General features: G+C 41.1%; 1 protein-coding gene across 22 annotated transcripts in view; it reads right to left on the bottom strand.

The window, feature by feature from the left end:
* CEP112 (centrosomal protein 112) overlaps nt 1–26,841 on the bottom strand; it is a 556,597-nt gene that overhangs the window by 55,705 nt on the left and 474,051 nt on the right. Inside the window, exon 24 of one of the 22 annotated variants that reach the window (XR_007065280.1) lies at nt 12,743–12,953. The exons of the other annotated variants lie outside the window; for them this stretch is intronic. The gene's annotated coding sequence lies outside the window, so the exon portion shown is untranslated. The remainder of the gene's footprint in view (nt 1–12,742; nt 12,954–26,841) is intronic. 22 annotated transcript variants of the gene reach the window in all.

Genomic DNA, 26,841 nt, shown 5'->3' on the forward strand with positions numbered 1-26,841 from the left:
AGTTCAGACACAATGGCTAAATTAGTGTCCATTAAAGATTCCTGCAAACACAATGCCAGTCTTTTTTATGTCCAGATAAACAGTGGTTCTTAACCTTTTGGGAGGTTCTAGACTCCTTTGAGAATCTGATGAAAGCTATGTAGTTACTCCCTAGAAAGAGAAAAACCATAGTTTTATGATTTTGCCTCTCACTGTAGGACATTCATAGATTGCCTGAAGCCCATCTGTGAATGGACCCCAGGCTAAGAACTAATTTAAAAAGTGAAATGGTCTGTGAATGAGCTTGCATGCTTTAGGGTGTCTTTGATATTAGACTTGATCATAAATCTACAACTCAACCAGGTCTGAGAATGAGCTTGGAAATCTCTCCATTCTTGAATTGTCTATAATTCTGTTGTTGTGTTCTACTTCCAAAAGGATGAATGCAATAGTTCCTGTGCTTGTTGATGAGGTAGCCTTTCCCCCACCCCCTACTTTCATAGCTACCAACAAATAGGATCTTATCAGCTTCTTTTATTGCATAATTGGGGAAAGTAATGATTACTGTATTGGGAAGAATAGTTATCTATTTTTTTTGTCACCACTTTTTCCTGCTCTCTAATCCATCCTCACACCACTGTCAGAGTGAACTTCTTAAACTTAAATCTGATTATGTTGTTCCCTGACTGAAATGCTTAAACAACACTCCAGCCCCGCTGAGAGACAGCTCTCACTCCTTAGCACAGCATACAAGGGGCTTCATCAACTGGCTTGGTCTCCAGCCACGCTGTGCCGTAGGAAGCCTTGGCATGCCGTGCAGATGTCATTATCAGCAATAACAACAGGAGCTATCATCCACGGAGTGGATTTTATTTTTAACCCTTACGACAATTTTGTGCACCCAGTATTATTCCATCTATGTTAGAGAGGATGTAATTGAGGCTCCATGCAGTTAACTACCTTGCTCAAGTCCATGTGGTTAGCAGTAAGACACTGCACTGGAATTTTTTTTTTTTTTTTTTTTTTGAGACGGAGTTTTGCTCTGTCACCCAGGCTGGAGTGCAGTGGCACAATCTCGACTCATTGCGACCTCCACCTCCCGGGTTCAAGCGATTCTCCTGCCTCAGCCTCCAAGTAGCTGGGATTAAAGGCATGTGCCACCACACCCGGCTAATTTTTTATATTTTTAGTAGAGACGAGGTTTCACCATGTTAGCCAGGATGGTCTCGATCTCCTGTCCTTGTGATCCACCCATCTCAGCCTCCCAAAGTGCTGGGATCACAGGCGTGAGTCACCACGCCTGGCCTGGACTGGAATTTTAACATATTTTTGTAACTTCAAATTGAATATGTTTGTGCTACTCCATGCTGCCTCTTTCCCACTCTGTACTGATTTTCTCTTTTCTTTGCCTGGAAGTCCCTACCGCACCTACTCTGCTCAATGATGTAATTGCCCTAATCTATACAAGAGCTAAGTATGGACTTCTCTGGGCTTTCATCCATCTAGTGTTTAAGAGAATTAATTTACATGTCTGGGTGGCATGCAACTGCAGCTCAGGGCTCTCCTCTCTTCATCTCTGCAAGCCCAGTGCCAAGCCAGCTCAATGCCTGGTACACAGGTGACACTGAATTCATGTTTGTGGAAGGAACTCATAAACATTTGAACTCTACTCCCTAAAGATATTTACTTCAATCATCAGGGCTTCTGACTGTCCTTCATGTGGCACATTTAACCAAAGGTGATTATGTGTCCTGAGACACAAAATACACAAATATATCCTCCAAATGTCTATATCTATCTCTGAACACACACACACATATCATAATGATAATAATTGATAATATATTATCTGGTTTCTGCTACAATAAAAAATACTCCTTTAATTTTATTTCACAGAAGAGAAAGATGGCATGCCTCTCCCTTCTCTTAAACGAAGAGTTGTTCCCCACTTCCTGGCTTCTCTCCCTCCTTGCCTTCACCTGCAGAACCCTGAGAGTGCTACACTCGGCGTCCCACACCCTGCCCCATTCACTACATACCCCGTTACACCTGCCCCCTGTCCCCACTGCTCTCCTGAGTCAGTTTTCACACCAGTCACTTGTCATCTACCAAATGCCAAAACCAGAAGCTAACTTTCTTCCTTTTTCCACAGAAGCATTTGGCCCTATTCACGCCCAATTGTGTTTTTCTCTTGAATCTTGAGGAAATAATTCTGCTCAGTGAAGTCAAGGGATTAAAAAAAAAAAAGAGGATGCTGCAAAAGTGAAGGCCAAAGACAACAGGCCTGGAAAGAGGGTGATGGATATGGAGAAGGGGATGGGTGAAGTGGAACCGTTGACAGGGAATTGGAAAAAAGGGACTCAGAGATACCCCAAGGCTTTAAGATGGAGTGACCAGAAAATAGTGAATTCTTGCTAAGCACAAGTCAGAAGCGGTGGGGCAGTGTGCTTTCTGACATGCTGGGTTGAAGGTGCTGGCGGGACTTCAAGGAGGAACTATTGCTAGACTCCAAATATTGCTAGACACTATCCGTGCCCCCTCCAAATTCGTATGTTGAAATCTTAACCCCCAAGGTTATTAGGAGACAGGACCTCTGGCAGGGAATGTCCTCAAGAATGGGACTGGTGCCCTTCTAAAAGCTCTGAGTGAGGTCCCTGGCCCCTTCCACCATGGGAGGACACAGTACAAAGATGGGTGTCAACGAACTAGGAATCAGGCAGGCTCTCCCCAGACCCTGAATCTGCTGGTGCTTTGATCTTGGATGTCCCAGCCTCCAGAGCTATGGGAAATAAGCTTTTGTGTTTAGGAGCCAACCTGTCCAAGGGATATTGTTACAGCAACCAGAGCTCACTAGGACCCCTGGCTAGCAGATCACGTTGCTCAGTGGGTCTGAACAGTGGGGCATGCTCTCAGACAGAGGTGCAAATGCGGAAACTTCCTTAGGGAAGTTTCCTAAAATGAGAAGAGGTTCTAAAACCTGCCCTTTGGGTGATGCCCACACTCAGACAGGCAGAGGAGGAGATGGAGGCCAAGAAATCTGGTGGAAGTCCAGATAGGCAGGAGGCAATTGAGGAGAAGTTAGGATGACATATTACGGAAATCTAGCCAAAAGAAAGTTCCAAAGAAGGCAGGGTAACATAACTAGATCTGATCCTTTTTCCATACTTCACATAGTGAACAGACTACGAAGTCAACCATATTTTATCAGTATTATTAAAATGGAATTCAAATTACATTTGCTTTTCAAAAAGGCAGGCCTTTAAAAATTTCCTTATAAAGATGTAAAGTGTGATCTTTCTAAAGTTAATCAGAGAAAGCAGTTGTATTTAGAAATGACTTTCGTTACCTATTAAAGATCAGTTAAAAAACTGAAAAGTCACCAAATAATATTTCACTTTCAAAAAAGTTAAAATGTACGGCATGAAAGGAAAATGACAGTTTATATTGGCAGCTGGTCCTGGTTTTATATTCTAAAAGATTATTAGGTTATTAGAGTTCCAACCTCAGAATTTGACATAAGGACTATGTGAAAATGACCACAATTGCTCAATAAGTACAACCGCGGACTTTAAGTTGTGTCATCCTTATTCAAAAAAGCTTCAAATTTGACATTTCACACACACACAAAATCACAACTTTTAGTTTCTTCCTGAGAAAAGCCCAAGATAATTAAAGAACAGAATGTCCAACACTGGGTCAAAAATATGAAACAAAACCCAACTTGAACAGTTAAATTGTTTATTCTGCAGAACTGTCCCTCCTCTCCTAGCTCTGCAGTGTTAACTGGCATCATTACTGAAAAGACAGTTCTTTTCTCCCAATTAAATCTGCCTTTAAATATACTGTAAGTCAGCTGGCTGTGGGAAGCTACACCGCTCCTGACTTTCAGAGTGCTTTCTGCTGGTCGGGAATAAAGAATGACACTTTCCAGAAGAAAAATGTAAACGACATAAGCAGCTCCACAAGAACAATGAGCGCACACCGCACTCTTTAAAAGGGAGAGCATTGTAGGATAATTTGATTTGTTCCAAATCTGAAAATAATGAGAGCAAATTAAAGTGTCAAAAATTGAACATGTTAATGGGCTCTTCAGGGTGAGGAAAAGGACCTGGTAGCTAACATGCCCATTGAATGGCACTTGTGACAGTACAGGGCTTTTCTGTGAGTTTGGGGAAAAAAGAGTATCTAGTCAATGCTATTTTAATAATATGTATGAACATAATTCAGCTCAAGCCACTCCTTAACTTGTAAAACCACACATTAAGGAATTATGTATAGTCTTACCAAAGTTTTCTCTTGTAGTTCTGCGTCAATTAAACAAGAATAAAGTGATGGCAGATACATGCCTTTTAATAATGAATAAATGAAACACAAGTTCATTTCAATTATAAAGTGGTTAAAAGGTTTTTTAATAAAGGAAAACTTTATTGGAAGAGAGAAATACTAGGTCACAATGATAAAAACAATTTTTTAAAAAATGTTCCCAGAATACAAGGTATATAACAGAGAGAGGCTTTCAGATGTAGTACTGTAGCAAGACCGGACGTCTTTCTAGAGATTTCTGCTCTCGCCTTTGGCCCACTTCTTAGCCAGCTCCATTCCAGCAACCCAAGAGCTGCTACCTTAGTACCCTTTTCCCAACAGGCTGTCTAAGCGTATAAATTGGTCTTCAGCTTATAGCTCAGAATATTGGTACTCTAAGTTCGTACTAGAGAATACAATTTCAAACTCTACTTTCCCGTCTTTATCAAAACTCCATTTATGAGACATCTGGAAAAATCCACTTGCAAATCAAGACAGAATCATCAGCAGTATAAAAGTCACCCTTCTGAGTCAGTGGTCCTGGAAACACTGTCCTAGCAGAGTGGACTGCAGAGACACATTCTCTTACACATTTTCTGTCATGCAGCTTGTAGAGTCGCATTCTTGCCCCCTTTTAGAGAGTTTCAAAGCAGTTCTCATTGAGTTGAAATTTAATGTGTTTGACACATATTCTGCCTCATTCTATGTTGTTACGTCTTGGTAAAATGCTAATAGTGCCTGGCCTTTTCACAAATCATCATGAGGTCTCTGAGCACGTTTTTCTGGGCCTGCCCTGCATGATGGGGCAGAGTGTAAATGGATCTTGTCCTTGGTTCTGTCCGTAGGTTCACCCACATGTCCTTTGGGAAGTGGGAACCTTGAATGCTATAGTGTTCTGTTATTTAAAATAAACTGGATTGAATCATATGTAAGCAAAAAGAGTGTTGATTAAAGTTTTGCCCTATATAAATACAAAACTGGGGTCGGTAGAGTTGTGGATTTTAAGGGCCTTGGGTACAGTCTGTGGCCGTGAAACAAGGAACCAGATGAACCTCCGCTGGGTGAAACGCAGAAAGGGGACTTGCGAGCTGCAAGCTCTGCAAAACTGAGTTTTAACAATAAGAAAAAGCCAGAGTATTTATACTGAAGATGCTGCCAAGAAGAAGTCACCCTGGCAAACTGCGGGCAACTGCTTGAAGCGGGGTGATGGGTAGATGGCGGATCTGTGTACTCTTCTCCCTACTTTTGTGTATGTTTAAAAGCTTCCGTAATAAAAAGTCAAAACATTGAAAAAAGAAAAAAAGTCCCACTTAAAAAAAAATGAGGTCATCATATCCTTTCCTTCACGAGGCTTGAATTTACTATCCTACTTTGGAGAAAACAGATGATTCATTTGCCACTCAGTGGGGAGGAGGGATGCGGGAGGATTTACCCCATGAATGTTTTGAACACAGAATGAAGAGACCAGGGGGGTAGGATGTGCATATTTTGACTAAAGGAGAAGATAACTAGAAGAGGAAGGCCTATTTTTATTTTTATTGAGGTATAATTTACATACAATCCAATTCAATGTTTATTTTTTCATGGTAATGGTCTGTTTTCCATTTAAAACATGTAAGATGATTTTTAAATGTGTGTCATCAAATATTTGTTAAGTTATAAAATCTTGACGTAAACCTCTCTTCCCCTGGCTGCTTGGTCCTTCAGACAGACGTGATGCCTGAGCTGTGACTACAGTGAAGAGACACTAATTATAAAGGTGAAATAAGGGTGACTCTCATTTAAACCTTAATTGCCTTCTTAATAATGCCCACATTTGTTTAAGCAGCATTACTCCAATTCAGTCTATTAACTGGGCTGATAATATTTCTGATGAGTAGGTCTCCTTTTGCCATGTAAATTGACACCGAAACAGTAAATGTTTTTCTTTCTACTACTGCTAAATGAAGGCTAAGGTAAAATACAAATAAAGCAGTAAAATCTCACTCTATTTTCATGTGAGATTTACAGACTTATTTTTTTTTTAATCATATTGTAAACGACTAGGACAAAGCAAGAGGATCAAGCCCTGTCATCCACACAAGGAGCGATAAATGTGGGGCTACCGAAAGTGACACAGTGGCAGCGTGACATTTTTACTGGGTGGTCTCACGGGCTATTTACAGAGGCCACTATAGTTTCTGTTTTATTATCATTTTTAAATAGGCTAAATCTACTAACAAAAGTAACTAGTCTTCTTCAACTGAAATGCCACTCAAGATTTCTTTTAAAGCGATTTCTTCATTCAGACCTACCCAGGATGAATAACAAACCATAAAAAAAGTTTTATTAGTGATTCTACAGTCATGGAAAACAGGTTATGCTGCAGATCTAAAGCCAGAGCCGCAGCTACTACTGCAGAGGCCACTAATGCATTCACAACGCAACTGTATAATTATTTTCCCCTATGGCTTATGTTCAGGTTTTCAGTTTTTTTTCACATCCAAGCAACACTTATTTTTTGTTCAGGTTTTCAGTTTTTTTTCACATTCCCAGCAACACTTATTTTTTTTTCTTAAAAAAACAAAACAAAACAAAAAACCCTGATAATTCTGTCTCTTTTGTGATACTGATGTGAAGGTTTTTACCCAATACATATGTTACTCTTCACATAAGGCAAAATTCCTTCCACGTGAAAACTTTTTAGTTGTTGCTGCGACAAACCACATGCATGAGAAACTGCACTTTCATATGAGCTATTGCTATAGTACTTATTAGGCTACTGATTCAACATCAAAGGCAAAAATACTGTGGCCACTATATAAAGCAAGAGTTTTTCTTGTTTGTTATTCTCCAAGTACGAAAGTTTTCACTTTTTCTCTTTCCTTCTCTCGCTCACCTATTTTCAGTCCTTTAAAATTCCTAAAGGACTTCCTTTAAAGGTCTTAAAAATGCACTTTTTAAAAAGTTAATGTTTCCTGGTCTTAACAGAGGTTCCAGGAAAAGAAATCATGTTATTTCAAGACTTTGATGATCTAAGGAAGCCGGAATCTCCTAACGCACCTCATTCATGTTTTCCTAGTCACACAAAAGACCATCCTGACATTACCCGCAGCTCCTCTTAAAGGGGCCAGTCTATTTCTACTCAGGAAATTCAAAGCACATTCCCCCGCTTCGTGGCTCTAAACAGCTTCACTTGTGAACAAGTTCTTATCTCGGGTGGTAGAAATCTAGGATCAAATTCAAGAACCACAGCTAGGATTTTGCAAGATCATAGAGGAATTTCCTCGTCTGGCCAGGATGATAAGCACTCAAACTTGAGTTCAGTCTCTGTGGAACAGAGTGTTAACTGTTAAATCCTCACAGACCACCCCTCTTCAGTGCAAGCCCAGGGAAGAGGGAGGACCCATAAGCCATTCATTTAAATTTCGATTTTCTTACAAAGACTAATTCACACATGCCGTCCCCTGAACCTGCAGTATCATTTCCAATCCCCTCCACCAAACTGTGTATTTCTCCTCCGTGAAAACTGAAGATTCATTTCTTCCATGAAATATTTCAAATACAGATTAAACTATTTCGCATTGTTATTATATTCCCTATATGATAACATATTTATAGATCTCTTCCTATTGTGAATTTATCTAACTTCTTTTCTCATTTTAGGCTCTGAACTTCACCAGAGCAGCGGCCTTTGCCCCTCCATTATTTGTTAAGTGGTCTCTGAAATGCTTGGCAAAGTGTTATTTACACTACGGTAATGAGCATTTACTGGTAACATTAACCAACTCTATAAAGAGCAAGTTGCCTTTCATTTAAAACAGTTGGGGTACTCCCATTAAAATTCTCAGATTTTTTTTTCCCCCTTAAGCTATATTTCCTCTCATTCTGTCCCTAGAGAAAAATAACTGAGTTTTACCCAGTCTGCTCCCTCGAGTGTCAGAAGTGGCCTCCCTTCTTGTTTTTTAATAATAACACATCTATCAGTGCCCTTTTTTCACGATCTAGAGGGCTGGTCACCACTGTTGCTCTCTCCCTTTTGCTAAGTCCCTTCTCAGTGTCTACACTGGCACGTTGTCTTTACCCGTTTGCCCTTCAAGAAATTGGCCACATTTCTTTTGTTTGTTTGTTTGAAGAGATGGGGGTCTCACTATGTTGCCCAGGCCGGAGTGCAGTGACTCACAGGCATGATCATAGCACCCTATAGCCTGGAACTCCTGGGCTCAAGTCATCTTCCTACATCAGCCTCCCAAGAAGCTGGAACTACAGAGGCGCACCACTGCACCTGGCTGTTTTTGTTGGCCACATTTCTCAAGTGTTTGACTCCAGTACCCTTATTTCTCCCCCATTAGTGAACTCCTTCCTCATCAGTGATCTGATTTTGGTTTCTAACCAGTTATGAGACTTGTTCTCTGCAAGGTCAGCGATGATTCTCTTACTGATGATCCAGTGGCCTTTTCCACAACTCTATTCTCCTGGACCTCTCTGTTGCACCGGGCACTATTAGAACACTCTACTTCCAGAAATCCTTCCCTTTGACACCACCATGTCATGCTGTCCTCCTCCTCCTTCCCACATGCTTTCTGCTCCTCCTCCTCTTCCTCCTCCTCCTCCTCCTCCTCTTCTCTCTCACTTGCGGATATTTCCCTAACTAGGTTCTTACCTCTCTAGCCTTCTTTCTATACACTGTGTCCTTCAGATCATTACTTCCGTAAGTTAATGGAAGTATTTCTATAATCTGGGCATATCGCATGTACCAGACGTGGTACTAAACATTACCCTCAAAAAGCATCTAATCTAATGTGTACGGCAAGCTTATAAAGGAACTATTACAATACCACATGAGCACTGCTAAAAAGAAGTCTTACCAAGCATTGTGACTGAACACAGGAGGAAAGCAACAAACGCCAGGGAAAGTTTAGACAGTGAGAACTTCCTCAAGGAGGTAATGTGGGAGCTGGAGGGTTTCCCAGGAGGAGAGGAGAGTGGTCCTGGGGAGTGAATCACAGAGGGAAAGGCATGGTGGCATAGACCTGCAATGCTTGTTGGCTACACCGAAGGCATGGCCAAGCAGAGGGGTGGCACTGAAGCAGGAGAGGCTACATGGGTTGCGGCTCAAACTTATCAAGTCCAAGACTAAACTCAAGGGTCTTGTGTGCCAGGAGGACTATAGATTTTACCCTGTAGGAATGGGAACCACAAAAGGGCCTAAGATGATCAGATTTCCAATACAGGATGAACATTCAGGTGACAGTGTGGAAAATGGTGGCAGGGAGGCCTGCTGGGGACAGTTAACAGAGTCTTGGCAAGACATGGGTGAATCTATGGGACAAGACAGAGGCAAGGATCAGATTCCACTCAGCCCTCTCAGCATATAGGAGAAAACCAGGCCCAGAAAAATACACCTGTAAGCTTCACGATCATTTGTAAAAAGTCCAGGAATACAGAATGAGGCTTAGGACATTAAATTTTCGGTCAATGAGAAATGCTTTAGAAACTCTAAAAATGAAAAGAATAAAAAAGCACAATTTTACAGACTGTGTAACCAAACATGCAAGAAAATCTGTCTCAGGAGTTCACTCTGCCATGGCTGGGAGGCCATTAGGAGGCCATGTAGTATCACGTGGGAGATGAGCTTGATTTGGACAAGAGATGGCGAGAAATGATGGGCCCGGGGGAATGCATGTGCCGGGATGGCAGCAGAGCCACAAGACAGGTTGCAGGGCTTGGTCATGCAACGAATGTGCCAGGTGCAAGAAGGAAGTTTAAAGAATGACTCTGAGGCTTTCAGAATAGGTGGCTAGGGTGCTGTCATTAACTAAGACAGAGAACACAGTAGAATTAAAATATACAGAAAGGAAGGGGAAGAATAAGTTTCTGCATGACACGGATTCAACAGGAATGATGATGCCAATGGCTTGACCATTAGAGTATGGTGTCAAAAAAGAAATCATGGAAGGAACAGTTTTGGGGAAGTAAGATCATGAGTTCCATTTTAAAGTCACTGAGTTTGAATGCATATCACGACATCCAGCTCTCCTGCCTGATATGGGCAACAGAAACACTAGCTCTAACTAGGGCTTGCCTAGTGACGACTCCTATACTCATCTCCATACCCAGGATCGCACAAATCCTCTAATCTGACATCTCCAACTGTCTCTCTTATGTGTGTATATGGTGGCCTTACCATCATCTCAAACTTCCAAGTCCAAGACTAAACTCATAATTTTCCCCCTCAACCAGCTTCCCTTCCACCTGTCCTGCTGATCAATGACAAAGTCATTCATTCAATTACCAAGTTCCTGGTTTTAAATCTCACAATCATTTGTAAGCCCTACTCTCTCTGTTCTCCCTCCTAGTTAGTTGCCCACATTCCTTCAACTTCTTTTTTTTTTTGTTTTTTTTTTTTTTTTTTGAGACGGAGTCTTGCTCTGTTGCCCAGGCTGTCACTGCAACCTCTGCCTCCTGGCTTCAAGCAATTCTCCTGCCTCAGCCTCCTGAGTAGCTGGGATTGTAGGCACCCGCCATCACACCTGGCTAGTTTTTATATTTTTAGTAGAGATGGAGTTTTGCCATGTTGGCCAGGCTGGTGTTGAACTCCTGACCTCAGGTGATCTGCCCGCCTCGGCCTCCCAAAATGCTGGGATTACAGGCATGAGCCACTGCGCCTGGCCTAACTTCTATTTGAAATGACTCCACTCTACGTCCTGATTTCTGCCCACCAGGATTCCAGACTCTTTCCCAGTTGTGTCCTCCTGCATCCTGGCATGTAGGATGTGTTAAGATTAGCATCCTGCACCCTGCATCCTTATCCTGTCAAGGTTAAAATTTCTTCCCTGGCTCTGAATCCCTTCCTAAACTAGCTTCATGTATCTATCTGGACTTCTTTCTTACTGTGCTCAATATACAGGAATCCCCATTTATCTGTGGTTTTATTTTCCACAGTTTCAGTTACCCATGGTCAACTGTGGTCCAAAAAGAGGTGAGTACAAATACAGACAAGAATATATATTGTGAGAGAGGAAAGAAAGAGAGAGAAAGACCACATAATTTTTATCACAGTATATTGTTGTAATTGTTCTATTTTATTATTGTTGGTAGTCTCTTATAGTGCCTAATTTATATATTAAACTTCATAATAAATGTATTAGTCCATTCTCATGCTGCTAATAAAGACATACCCGAGACTGGGTAATTTATAAAGGAAAGAGGTTTAATGGACTCACAGTTCCACATGGCTGGGGAGGCCTCATAATCATGGCGGAAGGTGAATGAGGAGCAAAGGCACGTCTTACATGGAGGCAGGCAAAGAGACAGAATGTGTAAGGGAACTGCCCTTTATAAAACCATCAGATCTTGTGAGACTTATTCACTGTCACAAGAACAGAATGGGAAAAACTCGCCCCCATGATTCAGTTAACCCCCTTCCAGTCCCTCCCATGACACGTGGGGATTATTACAATTCAAGGTGAGATCTGGGTGGGGACACAGAGCCAAATCATATCAATAAGTATGTATATACAGGAAAAACATATGATACATCAGGTTCATTGCTATCTGTAGTTTCAAGCAACCACTGGGATCTTGGAATGGAACCCCTGTGCATAAGAGGGGATTGGTGTCCTAACTCAAAGCTGTCATGCTAGGTCCAATATGCAGGCACTGTGCTGTGGCTGTAACAGCTTTACTGACTTTCACAATGTCCCTCTGAGGTAGAAACCTCACCTTATAAGAAAGAGTGAAGGGCCAGCCACAGTGGCTCACACTTTGGGAGGCTGAGGCGGGTGGATCATGAGGTCAAGAGTTCAAGACCAGCTTGGCCAACGTGGTGAAACCCTGTCTCTACTAAAACTACAAAAATTAGCCAGGCATGGTTGCAGGTGCCTATAATCCCAGCTACTTGGGAGGCTGAGACAGGAGAATTGCTTGAACCTGGGAGGTGAAGGTTGCAGTGAGTCGAGATTGTGCCACTGCACTCCAGAATGGGCAACAGAGTGAGACTCCATCTCAAAAAAAAGAAGGAAAAAAAAAAAAAAAAGCTAAGGTTCCTAGAGGCTACTCAAGGCTACCCAGCTGCGAAGTCTTGCAGACAGGAAATGGCCCAGGTCCCTCTGCCTCTCAGCCTCTACGTTTTGCCACCAATGGGCCCAGCTCCACACATTGCCCTGTGAGCTCTGTGGGTCTTATCTTCATCATATCTAGAATGCCATTCTCCTGCTATTACTTCCATCCTTCAAAAGCCTTCTTTGTCCCCAAATGCTCTGGATTTACTATTAAGATATTTAGTCTTTAATCTAACAAATTAAAATGTACAAAAAAAAAAACCCAGAAAAACAAGTTTTTGTGTCACAGATTCAACAGTCATAATGATTCCGAAGGCTTCCCTATTAGAATGTGGAGCCAAAACGACAGGGTATTACACAAAGTGATGAGTTGAATTATATCCTCCAGAGAGACATGTTGAAGTCCTAATCCCCAGTACCTCAGAACGTGGCCTTATTTGGAAATAGGATCCTTGCAGACATAATCAGACGAGGTCACCCTGGAGTAGAGTGGGCTCTTAATCCAGTATGACGGACGTCCTCACAACAAGAGACGCACAGGAAGAGGTTGGCCCTGCGACGACAGGGCCACAGATGGGAGTGATCATCTAGAAGCCATGGACACCAAGGATTGCTGGGAAACATCAGAAGCTGAAAGAGACAAGGAAGGATTCCTCCCTAGAGCCTTCTGAGGGAGCACAGCCCTGCCCACACCTTGACTTCGGACTTGTGGCCTCTAGAACTGTGAGATAATAGCTTCTCGTTGTTTCAACCCACCCAGTTTTTGGTTCTTTGTTACAGCAGCACTAGGAAACAAATACACATGGGAAGAAACGTCCCTTGTTTTCCACATTTTCTCTTGTAAAACGTGTAAAATACACACACACACACACACACACACACACACACACAAACATTTCTTTCAACTACCCAGTCCTACTAGACCTCATTTTACCCATGTGAGGGCCAACAGTCCAATCATTATGAGACAATCCGGAAAATGGCATTAGGGTATTACTATGTTATATTGATCTATCGGTATTTTCTTAATTTTGTGTGTGTACATGGTCGTATCAGATCATTAAGGAAGCCACTCCAATAGAATAGATGGCTCCTTCTTAGCTGATGAAAGAGATACTGCTTGAGGTGCAGAGGTGGAGATCCTCAGGTGAGCCTGCCTCTCACACCTCACATTCACATGACGGATAGAAATCATTCACGCCAGATAAAATGTTTTTCTTTTTTTAACCTTAGGATTCTGTGATATCTGGAGCCAATACTCATGAAGGAAGAAGTTTAAAACTTTCCGTTTAAACCACTTAGAATGAGAGGATTTACAAAGATCCTGTTTAATGTTCAGCTGACACATTGTCAAAAACGTTTATCATGCAACCTTTTGAAGTTTCTTCCACTCCCTCCTAGTTATTAAAGCTTGGATTGCAGTTAGTTATCAACAACAAAGCATACACGTGATGGTGTTTTTAGAGTCAGCCTTTCAGTTTGATTTCTGAACTACTAAGCAAAATTCAGTTCTCCTGATCAGAAAAATGATTAGTGACCTACTTTTCATGCTGAATGCACAAAACCGTTGATTTCTGAAATCACTTCTATATGGACCTAGGGATAATGCAAGGGACATGGAAATTTCATTTGTATCATAATGCTCCAAACTGCAAGAATTTTCAGATATAAGAATCTGCCACTTCAAGTGAGGCTGTGATTCTTTCAGTGCAAATGAGGAAATAGTGACCTACATTATTGAGAAGATTCCTCTGGCAACTTAATTCCTAATGTAAATTTCTTCAGATTGAGAATAAGCTTCAGTTCGTGTTTTGGCAAGGGGAATAAAACTCTTTCTGAATAATTCAAGCGAATACTATTTTTTGAGTCTGTACAATGTATTAGAAGGTACAGAGTTGGGTAAGACATAGTCTCACCTTTTACGGCACTTACATTATCATAGAAAGTATGTGATAAGGACAAAAAGCAGGAGAGCATGGTAAGTGTGTTAAGTGTTCAATTGAGAGAACAAAAAGAAAAAGGAAGGACAGAGGAAGATGTTCAATGACACCACAAGGAAGCAGGCAGATAAATCCAGAATGTGGGACATTCTACAGGACAACTGACTTGGTTTCTGCAAGAAGTCAATGACATGGGAAAAAAGTGAGGAAGGGTCTGCTTTAGATTTGAAAAGACATGAGAGCTGTAACAATCAAATGTAATGTTTGGATCCTGATTCAGACAAATCAACTGTAAAATGGCATTTTAAAGTTAATTTGGGATACTTAGTTATGAAGTAAATATTAGATGATACTAAAAGATAATTGTTCACTGTCTTAGGTATGACAATGGCACTGTGTCTGTGTAAGACAATGCCCATGGTTTCTGAGAGGCATTCTGAAATACACAGTGTAAAACGACTTGATGTCTGGAATTTGCTTTAAAATATTTTAGCAAAGAATGAGGGGGAAATGACAGAGTAAATGTGACCAAATCTTGATAGTTACTGAAGGTGGGTGACAAGCACACAGGAGTTCATAGTACTATTATCTCTACTTTTGGGTATGTTTGAAAATTTTCATAATAAAACTAAAAAAGAAACAAACATTTTATGTACAGTAAAATGATATAAGAAAAACACAAAGAGACTGGGAACGTCTTCAGGAAGGACGCAGTATTTGGGAAAAGCCTTGAATAATAGCTACAGTTCTGACAGGCCTAAGGTGGAAAGGGGAAAGAATTGTCTGCCAAAGAAGTTGCATTTGCAAAAGTAAATACAAGGAAAATGGGGGTGTGCTCAGGACACCCTGGTGCAGTCCCTGGAGCAGGACCTGGAATATGTGAAGGGGAGGCAGACCTGAAAAGAGGAGGCCAGAGCACAGTGAACTTCAGAGCACAGGCTTTAGTTACACTTAACTTGGTGAAAAGGAGAGGGGCTTTTGTGCAATGCCTAAAATCAAGAAAGATACACACAGTTACTTCCTAGACATTTACAACATGCGTCCCAGGCTTAACAGGTTCAAAACTGGACGTATTATCAGTTTTCCCACTTTATTTCCCTCTCCTTCCACTCACCCCTTTGCCTCAATCTAATTATGTTCCTATATATTCAGATCTAGATTAACGGAACCCATATTCACCTAGTTATCCAAATCAGGAACTGCGAGGACACCCTTGAATTTTCTCTGCCATCTAACCATTTACCGGCCTTCCAAATATTTCTCCTCTTCAGCCCTATGGCTATTGCCCTTGTCTCTTTTCCTCTGGATGATGACTACACTCATAGATCTCTTCGTTCCAATTCATTATTGCCAGAGCAATATTCCGCATCATCTTCAAGTTTCTCTATCTCACTGCACAGTACCACTACCACCCACATGATCTATCACATTATCCAAGGCAAAAACTCAGGAGATCTCTTTGACAACTTGCTTCTATTCCACATGTTCCCTCCCAAAGACTCCTGTTTATTTGCCACTAACCCCTGTGGATTCAATCTCTTTTAATTTGGTCCACTTCATGCCATTTTTACTGACATTCTCTGATTATATTGTCCCTTTTCTGGTCTCCATCCATTCCTCCGGGCTCCCCTCGGTCTCATCTTCATACAGCAGCCACTTACTTTGGAAGTCATTATGTAGGAGTTATCATTGAATCCCTTTGTTCCCTCACTTTACCCTGCCACATTCAATTTTCACTAGGAGTGGCGCAGGATGAATAGAAAATTATAAGTCTTTGACAAAGAAAAACCTTAAAAACATGCATAACCTACCCACTTCTCTCCATCTCTAGTACTACCTCCTTGGTCCAAGTCATGGCCATCTTTTACCTAAAGATGACTCCAATAGCATAGCAGTCTCCATCTCCCTCCCATACATTCTACACGTCAGGTCTGTCCATTCATCTCTCTTACCTGCTCAAAGTTCTCCAATGACTTACAATTACACTTAGAATAATATCTAAGCTCCTCACCATGCTTAGAAGGTCCTACAAGGTGTGGCTTCCACATGCCTCTCAGGCTTCTCCTTGTACCAGTCTCCACTTTGGTCCAGCCACACTTGCCTTCCTACTATTCTCTGAACCTTACAAATTCATTACCATTAGCACTTCCCTTCTTTCATCTTTAATCTTTCTGATTAAAGTTTCTTGTCAGGAACGTATAAGCATTTTCTTGTCACACTAGCAGTATATAAGGAATAGAAAAATGTGTGTTTTACAAAGAAAAACTCTTAATATTGTTTTAACACCTTTCAAAGTAACTTTAATTAAAGAGACAATGTGCAAGGTGAATCAGAACTTCATGTACTGTGAAAGAACTGGTGTGATTCCAAACACCCAGCATACTTAACAGAGGAATGCAAATAGTCAAAAATATATTATTAAGCACAAACCAAGACTGGTTCTTGGCAGTGTAGCCAAAATTTTAACAGTGTAGTTGAAAATGTGTTCAACCTTAACCTTTCATCTAAGGCTTTCCTTTGCTAATGAATCATGCCTGTAACTAAAACGCTAAGGTTAGCATGGCTTCTTTGAAATGAACCACCACAAACCAAACATCTAAAGCTTAAGATATAGTGTTTCTTTTCAAAACTGACAACCCCCCGCACTTTTTTTTTTTGTATTACATGACCAGTCTTCTTGAAATAAGTGTGGTCTAGGAAATCTGACTTTTAAAATTAATTCTCAAAAATTCTATTTCCCCATTGATGTGCTGTTAGTATGGTTTGTCAGTCCAATTTCTGAAATGCTAAGTCCATTTGATCTCCCACTAAGGGATCAAACCCTATTTTAGGACCTAATATCAATTTTAAAAATTTATGTTTTACCTCAGATTATAAAATAATACAGGCTAATTGAAGAAAAATGGAAAAGCATTAAGAGGGAAAAAGATTTCCATAATTCCTGCACTCAGATATAACCACTATTAGCACAGTGCCTTCTTTCCACGTCTTTTTCCTATTCATATGAAACTGGCACGTTGGCTCTGTAGGACTCCCTGAGTGTAATCGTAGAAGCTTCTCTCTCTCATCTCCCACTGTTCCTTTAATCCTGCTTAGTGGAGACAGTTCTTCTCTTGCCCCTTGGTGAAAATTCAGAAGGGTGCCTTGATTTTTCAGGTCACTCTAGTCCTACAGTCACTTTAAACTGCAGACAAAGTTTTAAAACATTTAGATCGTTCTCAACCGAAATTTAAATGGTTCTTAAGAGCAATTTAACGTAAGGCAAGACATATCTAAAGGATTCCAGAACACCGTTATTTGACCTATCATCAAGGTACTTTTACTTCCTGTTTGTCTTTGACCCAGGGACTTGAACCCCAGTGGGGTGGTCGTGGTGCCTGCCTCACACACCAATGTCCCTAATGATGACTAAGATTGGACTGGATGTGTAGGTGTCTCCTGGCCTCACCCTCCTACTTGTTATATTCTGTTCTCCTCTGGGAGTATCCCTCAACGTCTGTTTTATCCTATTTCCCCGGCTTCAGCTCTTTGTTGCAGGTCTCTGTGCATTTTTCTTGGCCTGCTGGATGAATACTCCTCTTCACTCTCATCTCCCTTCTGCAGATAAAGGTCAAAATAACAATAATCTCCCCTTTATAGGGAAATAAGCTGCCTGAACTCCAGGTTCTTGCAAGAGAGTAAAACATCAAATCTGCGGCCTAATTATAATAAAAAGATTACTTTAATTAACTAACATTAATAAAGATTTGCAATATATATGTTACAACAATTCTTAGATATTTGTATCAGTCTGGTTTCACACTGCTGATAAAGACATACCTGAGACTGGATAATTTATAAAGGAAAGAGGTTTAATTGACTCACAGTTCCACATGGCTGGGGCAGCCTCACAATCACGGCGGAAGAGCAAGGGACATCTTACATGGAGGCAGAAAAGAGAGAGAATGAGAGCCAAGTGAAAGGGGTTTCCCCTTATGAAACCATCGGATCTCGTGAGACTTATTCACTACCATGAGAACCGTATGGGGGAACTGCCCCCATGATTCAATTATCTCCCACTGGGTCCCTCCCACAACACGTGGGAATTATAGGAGCTACAATTCAAGATGAGATTTGGGCAGGGACACTGCAAAACCATATCAATATTCAAATTTTAATTCATGGATAAAACCATCATCTGGTTCCAGGTGGAAGCATGTGCTTTAGGTGTGTGCCATCAGTCCACATTGAGCGGCATTATACAAAATAGCTCTGAGAAACTTGATACTGCTTTTCCTTTAAGAATATTCTTAAGAACATCAGCTACATCTTACAGTTTTTCTTCCACTGATCTTTCTTTGCTCTGCAATGTCTTCTACATTGCTACCAATGATCTTTCCAAAACAAACCTGACTGAGATCCTCTGCTGAAAAATCATCAGTAGTTCTGCTCTATCTACAGAATAATTTCAGACCCCTAAGCATGGCATATATACTTGCTACTCAACGCCTGCTCTGAGAGCCAGCAGCGTTGTAGGATCTTGAGCCCTACCCCAGACTGACAGCATCAGAGCCTACATCTTAACAAAATTCCCAGGTGACCTGCAGGCACATTCAGGTGTGAGAAGCACTTATACAGTGCACCCTTCATGAGGGTCCTACAGCTGAAATTCCTCTCTGGTGTCAGTGCTAGGAAAAGCTGTGCTTCTCCTGAGCACTTGACTTGGTTTCTATTAAGGACACGGGCTACTGAAATTCGATTTCTTCTTGTCTTTAGCTGCTATGAAGCCCAGGCCAAACATGGAGCTCTCCTTATAGCAGCTTTATTGGACTTCATGGCAGGCATTTTGTTTATGAATTCTATTCTTGATTTCATATTATTTTCATATCTTTTTTTCTGTGATTTTCTTATTAATTTTTATCCTTTTGTACCATATGCATCTCTCTAAGTCACCTGAAATACTTTTAGGGATTTGGTGAGGTATGAGCCCATGATATTTGTATGCGTGTAAGACAGCAAGGAAGTAATAAAGTCAACAAATATTTCATTTCCTGGCCTTTCCTTGCCCTAAATGGTATGTTTAACACCAGTGCTAACTTCTCCCAATCCAACATGTCTGTGTGTGCAGAAGCCTCATGTCAGATACTTTCGTCACAAACCTAGAGGTATTTTCCATAGAAACCTCTTATGTAAGAGGAACTGAAGATATGAAGGCAAGAGAGCATTGGTGTTAAGGCTCGTGGCAGGCTGGATGTCACAGTGGGAGGTCTAGGTTTCTCTGTAGCTTAAGAAGTGCACTGGCCATCCAGGTCCCAGCTTACTCTGCGTCCCCGCTCTTTTCTAAATAAGGACTTTCTGCTGTTGGTCTTTTCTGTCATGAGCTGGGCTCCAAAGTGGCAACCTTCATTAAAAAGTGAAAACTGGGCGCTTCTGTCTAAAAACTAATTAATTCCTGTGGAGACATAAGACAAAACACAAACAGGTTCATGTAATGACAGTCAACTGCTTGTCATGGCATTCCTGGGTGAGACAGCATGGCTCGTTGGTGGCGACGAGTGGGTGGCGAACTGGAGCTTCACTTTCTCTCTAGCAGCGTGGCTGGAGGCAGGACATGTGACCTCTTTGAACCCATGTTTTCATCTATATCACAGCAAGACATTTGAGAGGTCATCTCCCAGCACTAAATTCAACTGTCATACGATCAATTGAGTTTCTAGTATTAGAGAGGTCATTAGTCTAGTGGTGAAACCTTCAAATGCATGGTAGAGTAATGAAGCATTCAAGGTTTCCAGTCTGGCTGCCTGAGTTGGAATCTCTGCTCCAACTCTTTGCTAGTCATGTGACTTTGGGCAAGTTATTTACATTTTTCTGGGCCTCAGTTTACTCATTTGTAAATAAAGGAATAATAACAGTACCTATCTCATATGGTGGACATGAGGATTATTACATAAAAACACAATGTTAGCACATATAAGAGCTCAATAGATGTTAGTTGCTATTTTATCACAACTGGGGAATAAGAAATGGGCAACCATATTTACCTATATGTTATATATCACACTTTTGTTAAGTTTTTGTGATTATTTTTCTTATGGAAACTCTATATTAGGGCCATCTAACTGTATACTGCTGACCAAGCTGGCACTCTCCAGCTTTTTAGAAATTCATCAAGATTTTATCAAATGCCTGAGTCAAAGCATTTGTGAAGTCAAAACATTTTTAACATAAATTTCCATTCCCTCTATCTCCCCCTGCTATAGTCACAAAAATGAACAAATGGCAATAAAGTACAAGAAGTGCAAGAGGGTTGGGAGCTCATTCACGATCTTCTGGTAGAGCAGACAGATTCCACTTTCTGTTTCAGGTACCACGTCCGTTACCAAACAACCACACGACTGAACACATAACTCCCCCGACACTTTGCCCATTACCAAAGTAGCATGTACTCACTGCATGCATTTTGGCAAAGTACAAGGGTAGAAACAAAGCAAAAATAAAACACCACTATCACTTTCCCCACAGCCAGAGGCACCTACTGCTCAGGTTAATTTGCATCACAGAGTCCATCGACTGCTGCGAGTGCTGCATGCCCAGCAGCCCTTCCCTGCTTGGTCAGAGGGCACTGCCACCCTCACACCAACATCTGAGAGTCAGCATGTTGAAAGGGAGACTTACCACCACCCTCTGTTCATTTAATGGATAGGTACTTGAATGCCCACTGTGCTCAACAAAATAATTTTTGAGATGCCATAAGTAAGGAAAATCAGAGTATGAAATTAATGGTCTGGCCGCCATGGGGCAATTATGATCATTTCTTCTGTAATTCATGGCTATGATATACAGAAGATGAATAGCGGAACAAAAAATAAACACCTCCTTATCCACTTCTTTTAGATCTCTAAGGAGACTGAAATATTCTGTATTTATATGTCAGGTGGAACGCTGCCTGGAGAAATGACGGCTAACATTGCTTATATCTCAGGCAGAAATAGTTTCAAGTACTTTTGATTTATGGCATATTAAAAATGCTTGCAGAAATAACATAAAACAGGACAGGGCTATTCGCGTCACTATCCTCATCATGTAGTTACCGCCCTCTTCTATCTGACTGGCAAAGCCCAGACAAACATATAATTTCTGCTGTGCTGTGGGGCTTCAAAAGGGCTTTGAGCAACAACAAAAAAAACCCTCTGCTTTTTTCACCAGCAAATGTAAATAGTGACCAAAATAGTACTAGAAAGTAAGTTGGGTTAGAACTGTCTGGGTCCTGCTCTAATTTTCACTTTTGATGAGGAGATGTGAACAAAGACTTTGCCCTCTGTGTAGGTGGGTGCTGTGGGCGATACTCAAAAGCAAGAACCAAGTAAGGCAGAGAGCTGTGCTTATCGGCAGTGCAGAACTATAATGAGGCTTGCATTCATGCCAAAAATCACCTTCGCCAAGCAAAATTGGCTAATGTTGGGTCAGGAAAGAGAAAACTGGACATAAAAAGTAAGAATGGCAGACATAAGGCACAAAATAATTGGAAAACACATTCAAAGTATAGCACACTGACAACTGAAACCACAGTATAATCACCATACATTGGTCATTCTCACTTTCCCTGCATACTGTTTCCATTGCTGTGCTTTACAGAAAGGTAGGTAGACAGTACATGGCAACTCAGGATTCTGGCAGCTTTATGGAAATGCATAATATGTGAGTAGGGTGTGTCTTTCTACCAGCTAGTGGTGGTCCGGGGGGTTACCAGGTAGGCAGACAATTAGAACCTGTGGAAATCATTAAAATTATTACGTAGCCTTCTGAAATTGCTGTTTTTATTCTGGGGAACAGCAAATCCAAATCTGCACAGGATACAAATTATATTAACTTTGGAAACAAAAACATAATAAAATCTAAATATAGCTAATGAAAACCTATACTGTCTAAAGAACAATTTAGAATTTATTTTAAGAGCTGTACCAAAGTGTTGTGCTACACATTGGTTCCTAGAAAACATACTCTTGTGAAGGCAAAATTCAAATATTTCACAAATAATAGTTCGTTTCAATCCCTCCATTTCTTTAACAGCTATTATTCCCTCTCACGTCAAGTCAATTGACTTTCTTTTTTTCTTTTTTTGAGATGGAGTCTCGCTCTGTCGCCCAGGATGGAGTGCAGTGGCACGATCTCAGCTCACTGCAAGCTCTGCCTGCTGGGTTCACACCATTCTCCTGCCTCAGCCTCCCAAGTAGCTGGGAATACAGGCACCAGCCACCACGCCTGGCTAATTTTTTTTGTATTTTTAGTAGAGACGGGGTTTCACCATGTTAGCCAGGATGGTCTCGATCTCCTGACCTCGTGATCCGCCCGCCTCGGCCTCCCAAAGTGCTGGGATTACAGGAGTGAGTCACCACGCCCAGCCGTCGATTGACTTTCCTTCTTCCATAAATTCATCTCCAAGGAGCTGAAGAACACCAAAGCCACCTCTTCTCTCTCGGTCTGGCCAGTCTTCATCTGTCAATTGGATTTTGTTTTCTTTTTTAGGCCACACTTTGAAAGGAGCCTTTGAATGTCAGTTCTCTAAGCCTTGAATATGCCCCTTGCCTAAATTATGCAAGTATCCTCTACCTTCCCCTCTTCAAAAAGGTTTGATGATTCCCAAGAGAATGTATCCCTTTGAGCTCCAAGCATCATCTCTCTCCTGTCACTCTCTTCCATACATAGGTAAACACACACACATATACATATACACGTGTGTATATGTGTATATATCTCTCTTCATGTACATATGTACATAAATCTTGCCCACAATGTAAAGATGTAACATATTTAGTTAATTCTGCTTGTTACATCTAATTTATTCTGGGCTGTGATAACCCAACTGATCAAAATGTGAAAAAGTCAACACTACATATTTTATGGATCTTATTAGTTTTGGATCCATATGAATATCAAAGTTTTTTTTTAATAATTATTAGCCATTTAAATGAAGATGAACATCTTTAATAGTATATATATCTGTCGGTTTACTCTTGTCACCTTACTGTCAGTTCAGAATGTGAGCCCAGACCTAGCATCGCTTTCCCCAGCTCCTAAAAATTACATGACTTTGCCGTCTTCATTCATTAGCCACCTGCGTACCTAGCCATACTATCAGTTCTTTCATTTTCTCTCCTAGCTTCACCTCCATTTTGGAAACCCATTCAACTACTCACAACAGTATTGTATTATTATTTGGAATTGATGCAAGTCTGAAAAATTAAGCAATCCCATATTCTGGTAAAAATAGCATTACCAAATATTTATATACAAGAAAATATTGGTATATTTAGGCAGAAAAAAATAGTCTACCCTAGATGATGTTTAGGGCACATGTAGGTACAATGGAGGATGAGGGGTAGGCAGGCTAGTGGAGCTGTTAGGCAGTGGGGAGCAGTTGAAAGCTTTTGAGTAGGGGAGCTGTATGAATAGACCTGAATGATGATACATGATTGACTTATTTGCAACGGTAATACTACAAGCAGCAGGTGGAGCAGAAGGAGCAAGGAGACCCAGGAAGAGTCCAGGGGAGAAGTAGTAAGTGTAAAGTGGATTAGGGTAATGGTAACAGAAAGGAAAAGAGTAATACAGAGCCAGGAAACAACTCATGTGATGTAGGAAGAGAGAAGGGAAAAAGTCAGCTGACACTCTCAGTCCAATTTAAGTCAGGAGTAATAAGGATGGAGGGGAAATATGCTGAGTTCTAGAGGCCAAAAGATCATCCACGCAGAGGTGTCTATTCAGTCTGGAACCTGAAGAGAAGCCAGGGTCAGGTGCTCAGTCGGGATTGTTCTGCAAGAGGAATTAGAGTTGAAATTGTAGGAGTGAGTGAGTTTGCTAAGAGAGAAAGAATAGAGAGAAAAACAACATAAAACTTTGGGGCAGAATTTATAGTTAGAGTCCCTGAAGAGAAAAGAAGAGGCAGCAAATGTATTAATAACCATAAAAGAAATTTTTTTTTTTTTAGACGGAGTCTTGCTCCGTCGCTCAGGCTGGAGTGCAGTGGTGTGATCTCGGCTCACTGCAAGCTCCACCTCCTGGGTTCATGCCATTCTCCTGCCTCAGTCTCCCGAGTAGCTGGGACTACAGGCTCCCGCCACCACGCCCGGCTAATTTTTCATATTTTTTAGTAGAGACTGGGTTTCACCATGTTAGCCAGGATGGTCTTGATCTCCCGACCTTGTGATCCACCCGCCTCGGCCTCCCAAAGTACTGAGATTACAGGCGTAAGCCACTGCGCCTGGCCAAGAAATTTTAAGTGTAGTGTAGAATCTGGGGAGTCAAGGGAGAAGAGGATTTCCAGGAGGTGGTTATCAGAGTTGAATGCCGATCAGGGGAGTTAGGGGGATTTGTGATGAACATTATCCTTACAATCATCACCCACATAACAATGATCACAAGAACAGCAACGACTACTACAGTACTACTGTTACTGTTGCTAATACTAAAAATATGTAGGAGGAAGTTGATTACTTCTAAGCATGTAGTTTTATTGGTTGATAGATGTAAATAAACAAATCAATTTCTTCATTCAACAAAAATGTACTGAGTACTTATACCAAACCGAGCACTGGATATAAAGCAAAGAATAAGAAACGAACGCATGGTAAAAGCAGAGAATATAGGCATAGCCCTACTCTTTTTCTTTCTTTGTTTTTTTTTTGTTTTTTGAGACAGAGCCTCGCTCTGTCGCCCAGGCTGGAGTACAGTGGCGCAATCTCGGCTCATTGCAACCTCCACCTCCCAGGTTCAAGCAATTCTTTTGCCTCAGCCTCTCGAGTAGCTGGGATTACAGGTGCCCGCCACCATGCCAGGCTAATTTTTTTTTGTATATTTAGTAGAGATGGGGTTTTACCATGTTGGTCAGTCTGGTCTCGAACGGCTGACCTCAAGTGATCCGCCCACCTTGGCCTCCCAAAGTGCTAGGATTACAGGCGTCAGCCACTGTGCCCAGCCAGCCCTATGCTTTTAAGAGTTCGATGGTTGAAAGAGACTGAGCGGGGAAGGTAGAGCGGGGCAGGGGAGGGACTACTTGGAGTCAAGTCAAAGTTTTAGGGAAAGACCTGAATCTGAAAAAGATTATTTAACCTTTATGTGTCTGAAATACTATATTGTGCGAATTGTACCGTGAGACTCATCCACCATTTATAATAATGTTTCTGTTGGAAAATGTGTTCAAAGTTTCCATCTGGGATACAAGGAACACATCCTTCCTTGCAATAGTCTTGGTAGCGTAATCAATTCAAAATGTGGGGATAATAATGAAAATGAGAAAAGGAACCAGGAGACTATGAGGAAAAAAAACAACTGAAGTGCATGATGCTGTAGAGGGGCATTTCAGGGACAAAGGGGTTCCAAGGCCCTTGCTAGGAACAGGCTGGGGCAAGAAAGTGACAGGAATGGAAGGCTGGGAGTCATGCTTTCCTGACTACAGGTCTGGATTCTAGAAATCATTTATTATTGCCATCCCCTTTAAATATGAAATTGCATTTAGAACCTTCAGAAGCCAGGAGTCTGTAAACAATGGTGCAAACAATTCAAACCCGAAGACATTCTCAGCTGCAATAAAATTTCTATTTACATGTTCCATTTTTTAAAATTCCTAGAAAAATGCTACTTTTATGACTGGGCTCTCATTGGGAAATATAATTTGCTCAGCTAAATAAATCTGTATATTTCAGGACATGTAACCACATCACACTTACAAGTCTTTGCTATGAATTTAAAAAGGTTCCTTGCCCCTGGAAACAGCCTTTTAAAGGCTGTTGTGGGCCTCACGCAAGTGGCTAGATGGGCGGTATTCAGCACACATGTCCTGTCTTTAATCTAGAATGATCTCACAAACACAAAAACAAGTCAGTCCCAGAAGAGAGAAGATTCCGCCCCTCACCCACAAAAAATACTAGAAATAGGACAAAAATAAGGTTTTGAAACTTATTTGCTGGTTTTCAGAACTGCCATATTATGACGACTATCCTTAATACTTATCTTTTCTTTTGGTTGGTTTTTCCTCCCTAGCTTTTGAATCCTAGCTCTTCCTTCTGGTTCCAGGGCTTAACCAAAAGGCAGATATTTGACACTTGAACACGAAGTTCAGTGTCCAGCACAGTGGGCCTACTTTATGGATGCTATACAGTAAATACAAAGCACTGCTTTGCAAAATGTTTGTTTTTCTTCTCAAACCCTGTATCCCAAACTCTCACAGCTTTTGAGTTTTAATTTTCCCACTCATGATTTCTTGGAAAGCCAGCAGGTAGAGAATGTGTGCTCAAGTGAAGGCATGGGTGGCTGAAGGTGAAAATGTTTAAAAGGGTCCCTGACTTCTTGGCCAGGAAGAAATAAGCAACACAAAAGCAGGGAAGCCAACTGAACTGAACCGTCCACTGACAGTCATTTAAGGTGGTGGGCTCACTCATTAAAAACCAAATGGAACAACAAAAAAAATCCTGTACATTTTTTTTCTGATAACTTTTCTCTATTAATATAAAATTTGACTTGTCTCTTCAACTATCCATATATAACTAAACAAAAGCACGGGGGCATAAAAGTGAAATTTTGCTATATTTTAACTGGAAGTT

This window comes from Homo sapiens, chromosome 17 (genome assembly GCF_000001405.40).
Source record: "Homo sapiens chromosome 17, GRCh38.p14 Primary Assembly".
In the NCBI taxonomy this organism is placed as follows: Eukaryota; Metazoa; Chordata; class Mammalia; order Primates; family Hominidae; genus Homo; species Homo sapiens.